This window comes from Homo sapiens, chromosome 2 (genome assembly GCF_000001405.40).
Source record: "Homo sapiens chromosome 2, GRCh38.p14 Primary Assembly".
Classification (NCBI taxonomy): Eukaryota; Metazoa; Chordata; class Mammalia; order Primates; family Hominidae; genus Homo; species Homo sapiens.
In genome coordinates, this window is record NC_000002.12 from 199,425,809 (window position 1) to 199,441,546 (window position 15,738).

Sequence of the window (15,738 nt, forward strand, 5' to 3'; positions counted from 1 at the left end):
TGAGCATTATTTTACCGCTGGCATTTAATTAGTATTTCAGGTTTCACTGTGTGCATATGAACATGCATATGTGCACACACACATATGTATGAATATTTAATTTTATATAGCAGAGGAGGACAAAGCATGGGGTCTGTTGAAGAATTGTGTTCTCCAAATAGTGTTTTACATTGCGGCCTATCCAGCTCTAATGAGGGCTGAGACATGGTTAACAGCAATTTGGGGTAGCATTTTCAGCTCTCTTTAGAGAGCCACAGAATTTTTTAAAAAGCAGCGTGTCTGTTAAAAGTTAGCTCTAAGGCCTAAAATGTCTAAATACGTATATTTTTTCAACATTGCCCTTACAAAGAAAAAACTGCTGAAAGTCTCCCAAACATTTAGTGTTTAAAGAAGAAAAAGTAGAGAAAAGAGAGAGAGTGAAAGGAAGAAATAGAGAAAGCAAGACAAGATTAAACCATTTTAAAAGCTTTCTTCTTTTTTATTTATTTATTTATTTTTGAGATGCAGTCTTGCTCTGTTGCCCAGACTACAGTGCAGTGGCACAATCTCAGCTCACTATAACCTCCTCCTCCCGGGTTCAAGTGATTCTCCTGCCTCAGCCTCCACAGTAGCTGGGATTACAGGTGTGCGCCACTGTGCCTGGCTAATTTTTGTATTTTTAGTAGAGACGGGGTTTGGCCATCTGGTCATGTTGGCCAGGCTGGTCTCAAACTCCTGAGCTCAGGTGCTCCACCCGCCTTGGCCTCCCAAAGTGCTGGGATTACAAGTGTCAGCCACCACGCCTGAACCATTTTAAACATTTTCAATAGGGAAAATGTCAAACTTTCAGAGCATGAAAAACCTTTTGACTCCAGACAACATATATCTTTTAACCATTCTCTCTCAAAAAAAAAAAAAAAAAAAGAAAAGAAAAGAAAAAGAAAGAAAGAAAAAGAAAAAAAGGTGAATTTCTGAATTCCTTTCCAAAATTATGACTGCACTTACTAATTATCTGACTGTCCATCTATTTATTTATTTAGAGACAGAGTCTTTATTTAGAGACATCTATTTATTTAGAGACATCTATCTATTTATTTAGAGACAGAGTCTTTCTCTGTCGCCCAGGATGGAGTGCAGTGGCACTATCACAATCTTGGCTCACTGCAACCTCCACCTCCTGGGTTCAAGTGATTCTCCTGCCTCAGCCTCCCGCATAGCTGGAATTGATTATAGGCACCTGCCACCATGCCTGGCTAATTTTTGTATTTTTAGTAGAGACGGGGTTTTGCCATGTTCACCAGACTGGTCTCAAACCCCTGACCTCAAGGGATCTGCCCACCTCAGCCTCCCAAACTGCTGGGATTACAGGAATGAGTCATCGTGCACAGCCACTAATTGTTTATTTAAAATCATAGTATTTGAAGGAATTTATAGGACTAGGATTTTCATTAAGTTTAGCAAACAAAAATTCTGAATTAAAGCAGCAAACCTAAGTTTCAGAAAAGAATTTTTTTAAGTGTGAAAGAATAGATAACCCATAGATTCAAAAAAAAAATTAAGGGACACATCAACCAAGTGCAATTTATAGATTTGTATGGCTCCTAATTTGAATAAGGCAACACTAAAAAAAAAATTACAAAATGATTAAGAAAATTTGAATCTTTACTGAATGTGAAATTAAAGAATTATCTTTTTTTAGGAGTTATGACAGTATTGTGGTTTATGTTTTCTAAGATAGTCTTTATCTTTTAGAGATATTTATTAAAATATTATGGATAAAATATAATATCTAAGATATACTTTGAAATAATCCAGTGGGGGAGGGGGTGAGAAGTGGGTAGGGAAAGAGACGAGACAGGATTGGCCATGAATTTCTAATTGTTGATCCTAGATGAGGAGTTCATGAATATTTAATACACAAGTCTCTCGAATTTGTATATGTTGCATGTTTCCATAAAAAATGATTTTAGAGAATTTAAGAGCAGAGCATTTCAAACACTGAACAATTTAAACTGAAAGAATATTCATTTCTAACAATAAAATTGTCCTTGAAAGTAGCCTCTATGTAAAGATCTTCCCAATAGTACATTGTAAAGAGATAGTACATTGAAAAATATATAATAAATGAATAATAAAGTGATAATAATAAAGGCATTCATTTTTTATAAAAATATCCTTGGTATTTTGGTTTCAAATCTTTTTTATTTTTGTCATTGTTTCCAGTTCATAGATGGAAATTCTGCTTTCTACATAACAATGCCTTCAAGCAGATGAGGTTCAGATCAACACTGACAAAACATTTGTAAGTTTGATAAGAAACTTCTAGATTAGGAATATGTTCTATTTTTGTATCAGGACTCATTTTGGTCACATAAGCAAGAATTATGTATTTGAAATGCTCAACCTACTATAGGCCCTCTACAAGTATTTAGTTTTAGAAGTTGGCTTCAGTACATGACAATTCCATGAGGTTTGGCTTTTTGTTTGCTTTTAAATTTTAATGAAGTCTGTCTCTGTTACTTCAAAAAAGTATCTATATATTTCATCAAAGAAATGAAATATATAAACATCATTATCAAATATATATAATCAGCATGTATTTAGTAACCACCTAATCCAAAAAGTCCTACCTTTTAGGGCTTATGTCCAAAAGTAAAGAGCAAGTGCTGGCAATCAAACTGTTCACAGGACGGCTGTGTGGTTAAGGACCTTGACTCTAGAGATAGATCAATGGACTTCAGATTTCAGCTCTTCCACCCACTAGCCTGCGCCTCTGGGAAAATTACTCCCCTACCTTTCTTTGCCTCAGTTTCCTCTTCTGTGAAACGGGAAATGTATAACTTACTTCAAAAGTCTGTTATGAGAATTAAATGAGTTAGTACATGTAAATCTCTTAGAATAGTGCTCAACATATAGTAATTGCTCAGTTGTTACCATGCATTATATTAAAGCTCTAAGAATTGCCTGGGTATAGTGGCTCACACCTTTAATCCCACCACTTTGGGAGGCTGAAGCAGGAGAATCACCTGAGGCAACATAAGGATACTTCGTCTCTACAAAAAATAAAGTAAAAATTAGGCTGGGCATGGTGGCATGGCCACCCAGCTACTCAGGAGGCTGAGGCAGGAAGATTGCTTGAACCCAAAAGTTCAAGGCTGCAGTAAGCTATGATTGTGCCAATGCACTGCAGCCTGGGATACACATCAAGACTCTGTCTCAAAAAAAAAAAAAAAAAAGAAAGAAAGAAAGAAAAAAACCAACTCTAAGAAATCCCTTGGTTTATACATTACAGGGGCTCATTAACGATTTATTGATTCTTTTTTTAATCTTCCACTGAAAAAACAGAAATACATCTGTATCATGTATAAATTTTCACATTTGTGGATAAATTAGGGATGAAGTGAACAGCTTATCAAAATTGGGGAATAAGACATAATTATCTTCCCATTTATTCAAAGAATTCATGAAGGAAGTAAAATTTGATATTTACTTTTTTTATTAGAAAAAGAAGAAAATCCCACATAATCCCATCACCTACTCTGCTGATTATTCTAATACATTGCCTTCATCCTTCTTCCATGCATATATGTGGAATTTTATATCACTGAGAATGTACTTGGCACCCTGCTTGATTCACATAACATTTATTAAAGACACCTTTTCTGTGTTTTAGAAACATTATTTAAATGACTGCATGAATGTAATTACTCCAATATAAATAAGAAACAGTGACAATTAATATACCCCTTCTTAAACATATAATTTTGACCTTAAAAAAAATCCAGTCAGAAAGGATTTTTGCTTATTTGCTAAGCACGTTTGTTTTAAAATAAAATTGTCGGCCAGGCACGGAGGCTCACGCCTGTAATCCCAACACTTTGGGAGGCCGAGGTGGGCGGATCACCTGAGGTCAGGAGTTCAAGACCAGCCTGGCCAACATGGTGAAACCCCATCTTTACTAAAAATACAAAAATTAGCCAGGCTTGGTGGCAGGCGCCTGTAATCCCAGCTATTTGGGAGCCTAAGGCAGGAGAATCGCCTGAAACCGGCAGGCAGAGGTTGCAGTGAGCCAAGATCGTGCCCCTGCACTCCAGCCTGGGTGACAGAGCGAGACTCCGTCTCGAAATAAATTAATTAATTAAATTAATCAACAGTCAATTTTAAAATTTATTTTAAAATTAACAGAAAGTAGGGGAGAGATAAAATGCCCACTTACAAATTAAATCAAACAAGCACAGTGAGGCATTACCTTGCCATCACGGCTGCCTCCCAAAGCCCACCATTCACACTGCCAATATGAATGAATAGCTACTCAACCAGTGGACTCCAGAAATCTCTGGACAGTGTGGGGAGCTCCATGGCTACTGCCAAAAGCCTTATGGGGAAGAACTGAAAGGATGAAAAGGAAAGAAGAAAGAATAGTAAAGGAAGTGGTGAGTTTTAAGTTGGGAGAGTGGGGCAGTTCCCAGAATAGCAGCAGTACCCTGGATTAACATGCCTCTTTCAAAAGACTTTCAATGCAGAGACGTGTACTCACGGCCCATCATACATATAGTATAAAGTATGCTTGCCATTCATTAGACCTCAGTCCAGCTATTCTGGTAGAAGCAAAGGGCCTGCCAGCTTTCGGCTTTCTACATATGCAAAACAGCAAGTCTGATGAATCCTGCATTTCATATCCTTGAGAATCAGAGTTAACAGAATGTGTGTTGGGAAATGGAGGTTATGGGTCAGCTAGAAACACAGTTACCATGGTTTATGACAGTATCTTTTACACTATTCTCTCTTAGGTACTAATATCTAGCCTTCAAATAAAGGTTATTTTAACACAGGGAAAGAAATCCCTAAACTCCATTTTAGTAGAATTTCTATCATTCTTTAGGAGGAAATATTCTTTCTTAATAAAAATTCAACTCACCTGGAGGGAATACCCTCTGAGAAAAAGAAACTGACTATCCTATGTTCACAAGATCATGGACCTGCTGCCCTGTCATTGGGACTTGAGGACTATTCCAAATAATGACATTGCTAACGTATCTCCTCCTTTACAGGCAATCTGAAATACTCTTCCAACTCAATTACTGACACTCTTTTCTGGTCACATCAAAATGAAAAATCATATTTCAAGAGTCTTGATTTTTAAGATGGCTAAAGCAACCCACTATCCTTGCAGTTTAGTTCTGCCCAACTTTTCCAGCATAGGAAAAAGAGATTCAAGAATACTGCCATTTCTCTGCTTTAAATGGATTTGCCAGGAAGTCCCTCAAGTCCTCATCTTGGAGGAATTACATAAACATGAAACAATCAACAAAGTCAAACAAAAATGAACAAAAAACTACCCCCATAAAACTTCATGCCTTCAGTCATCAAAAGTCATATTTTGTTCTACCTCCTTTTCTATCTTTTTCACACGCTGCTGTTTATCCAGCATATGAATTACCTGTCTTATCATGCATACTATTTGGTCTACAATAAACACGCAGCAAACAGCATACTTTTAATGATCTGAATGAAGACAATGATCTAATATATTTATTTCAAAGTAAACAATTCTAAGTTTTTCCATTTCCCCAAAACACAGATCAGCAGCCTAATTTAAAACAAACTGATTTTTTTCTTTGTGAGATTACAGTACGAGACTGAGTGATAAAATCTTTGCTTACCTATAAAATAAAGTATATCTGTACTCTAGAGCACCTTAAGAATATTGATTCAACTTATAAATAGTAGAATATTTAGCATTTTAGCCTTAATATTCAAAAACTTTGAGGACGCAAATAATCACTTTTGACTTGTTCCCTGTTTAATAATCCTCCACTGTAGATGACATTTATTTGCTCATATATCTCACCTTGGTGAGTAGAATTCTTAGTCCAAATCCCTGAAAGGAATAGTGTGGCTCCCTAGTGCAAATTTCCTGAGAGCCCCTTCCCTCAGTATGTGCCAAGAATCAAATCTTGGCCACTTAGTGCTCTGTGTTCCACATGTGAGCTCGCGACGCGCTGAACGGCTGTGCTAACTGAGATGGATGGCCCTGTCAAACAGGAAGCTGGCACACCAGGGTGCAAGCAGTGGGATACAATGACCTTTACATTCAGAGAAAAATATCCCTAAAGTGGCATGAAAAGTTTGTGGGGGGAAGGGAAGGGAGATTCTTTTATTTCATTTAAGTACATAGCATGACATAAAAGCAATGGTGCCCAGTATGCAATTTGCTCAGGATCAAATCGTGAATCCCTCACACAAGAAGGAAAGTCGTTGGAAAAAGGAAATGAATCATCCTTTATCAGGCTGCTTTGAAAGCACTGGACTCTACGATTCAGCTATATCACTGCGCCCAGCCTGGCCAGCGCTCAGATTCAGACTGCGCTGGGATTCACAATAACTAGTAGGGTACTACCTGCCCTGGGAAAACATTCCTAATTTCAATTAGGTTGCTTTCTTGATAGAACTAAAGTATAACTTAAATACTTAAAATATTTCCTAAAAAGCAATCATCTACTTACAGAATCAAATTCAAGAGCTTGGGAATTTAAATCCCTTGGTCACCACATCTGTAACTTTATATCAATGTTTAATCTCTCATAGTATCCTTATTGGTACAAATGAGGCTCTGACTGATAGTTCTTAGGAATTATATGAAGAGAAACTCATTTTAAAAAATAACAAACATCCTTGGCATCTTCACAAATGTTAACTAAAGATAGTAATACAGGACACTAACATATAAACTAAGATCTGGAAGTTACGGATTTCTCTCCTTTGGTTATAACCATAATCATAAACAATACAATTCAACCATTTCAGCTGAAAAACAAGAACAATAAATTCCATCAGATCAATTTTTTTTTTTCATCACTCAAGGTTTGGGGAGAATTTTTGTTATTATTTGTTTTGTCAATTCTTTGGCATGACAGAACAATGGGCTATACTTCAAAATGAAACAACAGAAGCTCACAACGGGCTCCCCAGTATTGTACAATACGCACTGAAATAATGATGCAATTTTAATATTTAATCAAATAAGTGAAAGGAATTGATCATAAAGACATGGCAATATTTTTTAACTAAATGGACTGCATCAAAACTACAAAACAGTTTTCAAAGAAACAAAAGGATAAAAGACATCCATTTTTTTTTCTGTTTAATTAAAAGCTTATTGCAAAGTGCAGAAGCCACAGGCCCAAAGCAATAAATAAATTTGGAAAACTGAATGCTTTATAAGTCATGTATTATAAGTTTGGATAAGTCAGGAGTTAAATATCTCAACATTGGTCCTAACTTAGAGAAAATAACAGTGTTATAAATGCAAAAAAATCTATGATCGGTTTGAAATGCAAGTTGATTTTGTGGCTCCAGAAGTGCTGGTCAAATGCTTCCCAAAACAAGAAACAAGACCTTCTACAAGAAATATTCTACTGCTCACTAGGAAATGCTAAATCTGACAATTCTCCTTCAACCTTTGTTTGGAGAACTATTTCAGAAAACATATTCTTCCTCAAATTATGACACACAAGAGACTTGGGAGGAGAGGGGAGAGGCATTAATACCTTGGGCCTGGGCCGCAGAGCTGTGAGAATACCCCAGGGCCAGGAGCGCAGTCTCCACCAGCTGGCTAAAAAGCACATCTTTCCGCACCAGGACAAACTCGGCGTGTTCTTCTCTGTTGTCATATTCAAGAGAGCCGTCCAACTGCTCCACGACACAAAAGACAGGAATCATCAAACCTGAAGGGACAAAATTCAAGAGCAAAACACAAACATTAAAAAGCAAATCTCAGTCACCACGATGAGAAGGGAAGCAACAGTTATAAAAGTCAGTCATCTGTGATCGACAGTGGTTTAGATTAAACAAGCCTCTTAGTCATATAGGTCTAATGGAAAGCTGTGGGTTTTCCCCCTCTATTATTACAGAATTGCCCAGGGCAGTGGCAGAAGCCCTTAGATTCCCGTCATTTTCACCAATTAGAGGTGTCCTGGTACATAGGTGAGATGAAGGTGACCACACAGACACTCGAATCTTTTAATGTCTATAGTTTTATCATTAACTATCAGCACTAGTATTTTCAGATCAGATCTGCTCTTGTCTAAAAATCTATTTCAAAGCTTCCAGTTGTAATAAATATATTACTTTTACACGTAAAAGTAATATATTTCTCTTTAAATATATTACTTTTACGTGTAAAAGTAATATATTTCTCTTGTCTGGAAATATATTTCAAAGCTTCCAGCTCCTTCCTACTAAGGTGGTATTGATTTTAAGGCCTAAGCTGTTATGTGAATATAATAAAGTCAATAGAAATTTAAAATAAGTCCCTCTTACGTGCTGTTGTTTTTTTAAATCCTAGTAAATAGGTTATCAACTAGCCTGAAAATAACATGATCATAAACATCTTAATTTACATTTATGTCAAAATATGCATCCAAATACAAAAGTTTGCCTATGTAAAATTATTTTATACATTAACATCAGTTACTGGAAAGGGAGTATCTTTTCTTGTGTTTTCAGAGAAAATAAGTAAACTACCCTAAAGAATAAAGCAAATTAGTCTAGTTGAAAATCTGTTGAAATCTGTTGTCACTGAAATATTTCTCTGCTTTGTATCAAAGTGTGAAAAGCTAAAAAATGTTTAATTCACCAAAGATTTTTTTAAACTTTTTTTTTATTTTTAAAAAAGTCATACAGGCACTTAAATCTAAACATAACCAAGGCAGAAGAAGATCAAAGTTTTACCAACATACAAGTAATAAACATGGACCCTGCCTAATGTAATTCACACAAATTAGTATGTTATGGGTCTTCTTTTTGTGCAAGAAAAATTAAAACTTATGAAGACTGGGTGAGTAGGCAGACGGGGGAGGTAGAAAGTCACATGGTCATGGTGAAGGTACTTCACAACAAAAAGAAGACCTCTGTGTGAAATGACTAGATGGGAGTATGGCCCCTGACACATAGAATGCATAGGAGTTTTCCAGAACCCCCTCCCTGTGGCCTCAACCCTAGAAGCCTCCTGACTCACTCTGATCTGGAAAGCCAAGGGTGGGAGCAGATACTCTGCAAACTACTGGGTTACAGATTGAGGTATTTGTTCTAAAGATAATACAATGGTGCAACTGGTTCCCATGTGCTAATTATTATTATTAAAGATAATAAGTATTGGGTGTAATTATTAAATATAATCCTTATTAACAATAATAATACTCATTAAGAATTGTTATCATTAAAGATCATGGTAATTATTATTAAGACTGCACAACAGTGTAACAAGTCAAACCATATCACACACAAGACAACTCAGTGTTCACTCCTGAGAACAAGAAAGCAGTATTATTGTCTATAGCAAATACACTCTCCATGGTGTAGATTTATTTAAAAATATAAGATACGAGTGGAGTAGACTGATTTTTTAGACAAAGAAGAAGATTTAGGACAGCTACACAATGCCTTGTAAGATATATTTTTTAATTGTGATCATTACTGGTATATGAAATGCTTATTTATTTATACCAAGTTTATTCCCAAATATATATAGGACATGTAGCGAATAATATAAATTAGATTTCCTTCAAATTATCTTTTTTTTTTTTTCTCGCTCTTGTTGCCCAGGCTGGAGGGCAATGGTGCAATCTCGGCTCACTGCAACCTCCACCTCTCGGGTTCAAGCGATTCTCCTGCCTCAGCCTCCTGAGAAGCTGGGATTACAGGCGCCCGTCAACACGCCTGGCTAATTTTTGTACTTTTAGTAGAGGTTTCTCCATGTTGGCCAGGCTGGTCTCGAACTCCTAACCTCAGGTGATCCACCTGCCTTGGCCTCCCAAAGTGCTGGGATTACAGGCATGAGCCACCGTGCCTGGCCCCAAATTATCTTTGTAGTCATTCATGTATCCAGGATTTATTCACTGAACACCTACTATGTGACAGGTATCACCACCAGTGGCTCCAGGGATACAAGTAAGAACAAGTCTGATATCACTCCTGCCCTCAATGTAGTTAAAGGAGTTGTAAAACCTTCCTAAGCAAGCATAATGGCATTTTATAGGACTCATTCATGAGAGTCCCTACCAGCAAGGAATAGCCCCCATTTAGAGCTTTTAACTCTTACATGCTGGCATATAATCTTTGCCCAAGGAAGTAGGTAGATTTTTATTTCTAATGATTTAAGCATATGCACACATAAGGCCATATAGTCCATGGTGCCATAAGCTACTTCACCACTAATACCTGTGTGTACATAAGTTTCGATGCTGAAAATCCATGTGCAGTTCCTAATGTCAACATCTGAGTGTCACACATCTGGGAATCAAAGATAAGATCTTTAAATGAATCCAATTGCTCCATAAGCTATCATGTCTCCATTACTTAGAAACTATAAATCTTTCTCAAGTCTATGGTCAACTGAAAAAACTTAAGACCATATTAATTTTTAAAAATAATATTAACTGTTCAGTTAGATATGAAATATAACATGAAAGCACAGGGATCTATAACATGTAGGGACTTACGTTTTATAACCGTCAATTACTGAAATAGTTCCTAAACATTTTGGTTCAGTGATTGAAGGAAGCAATTGTTAGCTGACAACAGTAATGACTTCTTACAGAAAGCATGCAACAATCCCCTACTGGCATCATCTATTTAAAAAAAAACAAAACAAAACAAAACAAAACTTTGTGGTCATTTATAAAATAAAACAGTACTAACCAGGAACGTATGTATGATAATAGGGTTTCTTCTGCAGAACATATACATGAGATACTGAAGAATATCATAAAGGGCTTATTCTTAGAAAAATTTACCTTCTTACTAGAATTTGACCCATCTAAACAATTATGGTTTTTATAATGAAATGCAAGTTTTACAAAAGAAGAATAAAGGAGGAAAAATAGATGCAATTACTAATGACAATAACAAGAGAAATAAAAAATAGTAAAATAGTATCATTGAGGTCAAGTGTAGAAAGAAGAAAATTAAGGCACAGGTTTAAAAGGCCTTTAAAAACCAGAAATCCCTAAGGGAAGCAAACTATAAAAGGATGAGTAAAAATATATGCCAAGAAAGAGAGAGAGAGAGAGAGAGATTTGTCCATCTTATTAACAACTCGTCCCAGGCAAAAAGAGGGAAAAAGAAAGAAAAAAAAAAGAGAGAGAAAAGTGACAATGGATAGAAAGATAGGGAGGTGCTTGAAAAGCACTTCACAGAATAAATTAAGAGTGGGGAGAATTTAAAAGTTCCAATAAAAGAATAAAAATGTAAAACTGAAATCCATTTTCAACAAAATTTAGAAATGGTGAAGAAAAAAGAAAATCTTGCTCTAGCCCTATATCTTGAGCTTCCAATATTATTTTTCTTTTATTGTAGCACAGACCCATTTTCAGATGATCTAGTAGAGAACTTTGAACCTTCTGATCATAAGCCTTACTAAGCCTTTTACAATCACAGGAGGTAAGCAGGTACTTTAATCTAGAGGACAGGCGCTCGGCCTCAGCCATTTGCTAAAAATGAAGAGTTGTTCTGGTAATTGGGATAAATGATGAATTCTGTTGTCAAAGAGGCAAAACAAGCCTGGTACCCTCTCTACACTAGAAAAATGCATTTTTCCAACTGTCATTAGTGATGATACTGAAACTGTCATTTTCATTCTGACATTATTTCTAAAGAAGTGTGTATAATTTATAAAGCGTTAACCATTGTAACTGCCACTGTTCACAGCAACAGCTGTGAGAACTGAGACATGTGGGAAAATGGTTAGATGTGGTGATGAACAGCACCAGGTCAGGGTCAAGTCCTGGCACTGTCCCTTTTTACCTGTGTGTGACCTTGAGTAGTTCATCTTACCTCTCTGAAGCTCCAATTCCTCCTAGCCAAAATGCAAACAATATCTACATCATAGATCTGTTGTGAAGATTAAACAATTTTACATATTTAAGTTGTCTGACAGATAGCTCTCAAACAATGGAATCTATTTGTTTTCCTTTTTTTCAAAATCGGTATTAATACCATTTTACAGAGGAAAAAAATTAACCAGTAATTTTTTTCAAGGCCTATAATCAATGTTCACGATACTAAAAGGCATTTCTTCAGAATAAAGATGATACTAATAATTATTGAATGGCCTATTATGCAAATGACAACTGGCTTAAAGTGTTTAACATGCCCCATGGCAAAAAAGGTGAAAGTGCTTAAAAGCACAGTAAAACTACCTGTCCATCACAGTAGCCTCTAACTTCATGTAGCAATTGAGTACTTGAAACATAGCTAGTCTCAAATTGAGATGTGTCGTAAGTATACATACTAGATTTTAATGACTTAATAACAAAAACAAATAAAATAAAATTATTTTTTAAAAGTAATTGTGTGTAGAATATCTTGAATATATTGAGTTAAATAAAATATATTATTAAAATTAACTTCACCTGTTTAACTTTTAGTGTAGCTACTAGAAAATTTAAAATTATACATGTGGCTTGTATTAGTATCAGAGAGCACTGTTCTAATGAATCTGCCTAATAACAATATATAATTTTTTCTCACACAGGATACATTTATCACAAACTGATACTAGGCCAATAGTGTGACTGTCGTGAGCCCTTTAGCTGTCTTTCCTCTGTGTTCCAGCTCTTAGGAGTCCTGAAGACAGAAGCACTCTTGGTTAAATTCCAAAATCCAACGTGTTACCTTCTCTGCAATTGCAGGCTGCTGTTTTATTACTAACTATATTAATCCAACTTCTTTTATTAGGGAACAGCTCTTTCCCCCTTGCCTTCATTTTAAAGAATAGACTTCAGGAAATGTCACAACACTGGCTATGAAAGTGACCTGAGGAATGCGTATTCTGGAAGGCTCTGAATGTTTAACCCAACAATGAAAGACGAAAGATGGTGCAGCTGCAGCAGGGCGTCTAGGTGACAGGATTCAATGGGCTTGCGCCAAAGTTGGGACATGAAATAAACCCCTGCTTTGCACTGCACTTCCTAGATCATCATGTAGTCTAACATACACACCTTTATCTTCTCACATTTACTCTGTGACAGGGTTAGCATTATTTTCAGTTAATAAATTAGGAAACTGAAACTATGGGAGAAGTAACATGCCCCAAAAAACACAGCAAGGCAAGGGCAGAATAGTTCAGGTTATCCAGCTCTAAATCCCAAGCAGGCTGCTTTCCTGAGAGTTGAAAACAACACTCCAGAATCCACATCCATTGAAATCTAAGGGCTTGGCCTCTTAATAAAAAGGACCCTTTACCACTTGCTATGTCCAATGGGTGACCTGTACTACTTGTAAGTGAATTCACCTTTTGTCTGCCTACCAGGTGTCTGGCACCATGCTAGGCATGGAGGGGGAAACTAAGAGGGCTCCTGCCCTTCCGTTATTCACAGACAAAGAAAGAAACAAAGGCTCACATGAATGGTCATACTCTAGTGTAAATCAGCACTGTCTCCAGCCTCCTCCCTAGCTCCTTTGTCTCCTTGGTCCACCAGCACTCCTGAATGACAGGAGCCAGTTTGAGATGAGAGGAGGCCAGGCTTTCGCCTCCCCTCTTTCAAAGAGCTCCTGAAGCCCATCTGTCTCTTGAAGGAAGGCAGCAGACAGGGCCCACTCCCTTCCCTGGAGCCTGCAGCTTATCTAGTTCTATCACCTGAGAAGGTCCGAGGGCTAACTGGAGATTATAAAGACTGTAGGGCAAAGCCTTGCATATCTTTTCTTCGTATAAAACTGAACCTGAAGTACCAAAGAACAATCTGTTTGAAATACTGAAACAAACTTTACCACATAAACTGAGTGAATAACAGTCTTCAAGAGGACAGAGAGAAAAAGTGAGGGATGGCTACTATTTTTTCTTATTGTAAATTTACCAGAAAATCAAAACAACGATTTACTTGTTCTATAACCTCATATTCTCATTATCTCTCTCTGTCTCTCTCTCTCTCACACTGACACAATCATACACATACATACTGAGTCACAGACAAGAAGAGAAGTAACTTGCCAACATTAACCACTAGCCCCTTCTTTCCATCCTAAAATAATAGAGGCTGGGCGCAGTGGCTCACACCTGTAATCTCAGCAATTTGGGAGGCCAAGGCAGGCGGATCACCTGAGGTCAGGAGTTCGAGACCAGCCTGACCAACATGGTGAGACCCCCGTATCTACTAAAAATACAAAAACTAGCCGGACATGGTGGCAGGCGCCTGTAATCCCAGCTACTTGGGAGGCTGAGGGCAGGAGAATGGCTTGAACCCAGGAGACAGAGGTTGCAGTGAGCCGAGACCATGCCACTGCACCCCAGCCTGGGCAACAGAAAGAGACTCTGCCTCAAATAATAATAATAATAATGAAGAAAAGCCTGAGTGCCTAAAATTGCAACCATAAATAGAAAGAAAGAATAGGGTGTTTCTCACCTCCCTGTTGGGGTCTCAGGAAAAATTTCTAAAAGGGATGCAGTGTGTCCTTCCTAATCTCCTCTTTGTGGCCCTGCTGTCCTCTACTAGGCACCCAGCCCCCTGGGCTAAGGCAGCCACAGGCTCTACATTCCACTCCAGCCTCCTACTCCCCCCAGGGGCTGATCTCAAAAATTCCACAGATTAATAGATAAAAAGATGCTTGCTACACTGTTTGAATGGTTTAGTGTTCTCCTTAATCTCCTCAGCTAGGTCTTCACAGTATAATATATATTTTATTTCAAATAAATTTCTCATGGAAGAAATTTCAGGTAGTATAATAAGAAACAGTAGAAAAAAAATTTCACCAATTTTAAAGGAGAGAGCAGAGCAATCATTTGGATGCAAAGGGAGCCACCCACAGGTCCACAGGTGGACCAGAGGCCCTCTAGGCTCCCCCAGCTGCTCCAGTTTTCAACGCTCCTCCCTGTCCTTTGCTTGTAAACTACACATTCCCTGAAACATTAATTCACTTGTTTTTCTAGTTGGCTTTTTCTTAACTCTTATCGTAGAGGAAGCAGAAGCCAAGACAGAGGTGGGACAGCAGCAAGTTCTAAGTGGTTTACAGGTAGAGATCAGTCAATTTTCCAGTTATGAGGAAGGCAAACTCTGCATCATAATTACTTTTTTTTTTTTTTTTAGATGGAATTTCACTCTTATTGCCCAGGCTGGAGTGCAATGGTGCAATCTCGACTCACTGCAACCTCCACCTCAGGTTCAAGCGATTCTCCTGCCTCAGCCTCCCAAGTAGCTGGGATTATAGGCATGTGCCACCGTGCCCGGCTAATTTTGTATTTTTGTAGAGACAGGGTTTCTCCATGTTGGTCAGGCTGGTCTTGAACTCCCAACCTCAGGTGATCCGCCTGCCTCGACCTCCCAAAGCGCTGGGATTATAGGTGTGAGCCACCTTGCCCAGCCATCATAATTACTCTTAGGTACAAACTGAGCCATACATACAATAATTCAATTTCATATTTACCCATGACCCAGGTGCAACTCAGGATTAGACCTCCAACTAAATAATAAATAATATTCAATAATATTGAATAAGAGTAAGAAATTAAGAGTTAAGAAATATTGAATAAGAGTTAAGAAAAAACCAACTAGAAAAACAAGTGAATTTTTCAGAGAATGTGTACTTTACAATATATTGAATATTATTTCTCAATTTTATTATTTATTATGAAATAATATTCAATAACATTTAATATTGATTTATTTGATAATAAACTCCTTGATGGCTCTCCCACTATTTGTGGGGGCAATGGGGTTGAGAATGATATCAAGAAATAGCTTATTCTCAGAATTCTCTCTAGTA

General features: G+C 37.2%; 1 protein-coding gene across 6 annotated transcripts in view; it reads right to left on the reverse strand.

Annotated features, from left to right (window-relative positions):
- Positions 1–15,738, reverse strand: part of SATB2 (SATB homeobox 2) — a 201,767-nt gene that overhangs the window by 156,309 nt on the left and 29,720 nt on the right. For all 6 annotated transcript variants that reach the window (NR_134967.2, NM_001172517.1, XM_005246396.4 and 3 more), the window contains one exon: positions 7,530–7,706. Coding sequence is in view for 5 of the 6 variants with exons in the window: in NM_001172517.1 (NP_001165988.1) it covers positions 7,530–7,706 (177 nt within the window). In the remaining variant the exon portion in view is untranslated. The remainder of the gene's footprint in view (positions 1–7,529; positions 7,707–15,738) is intronic.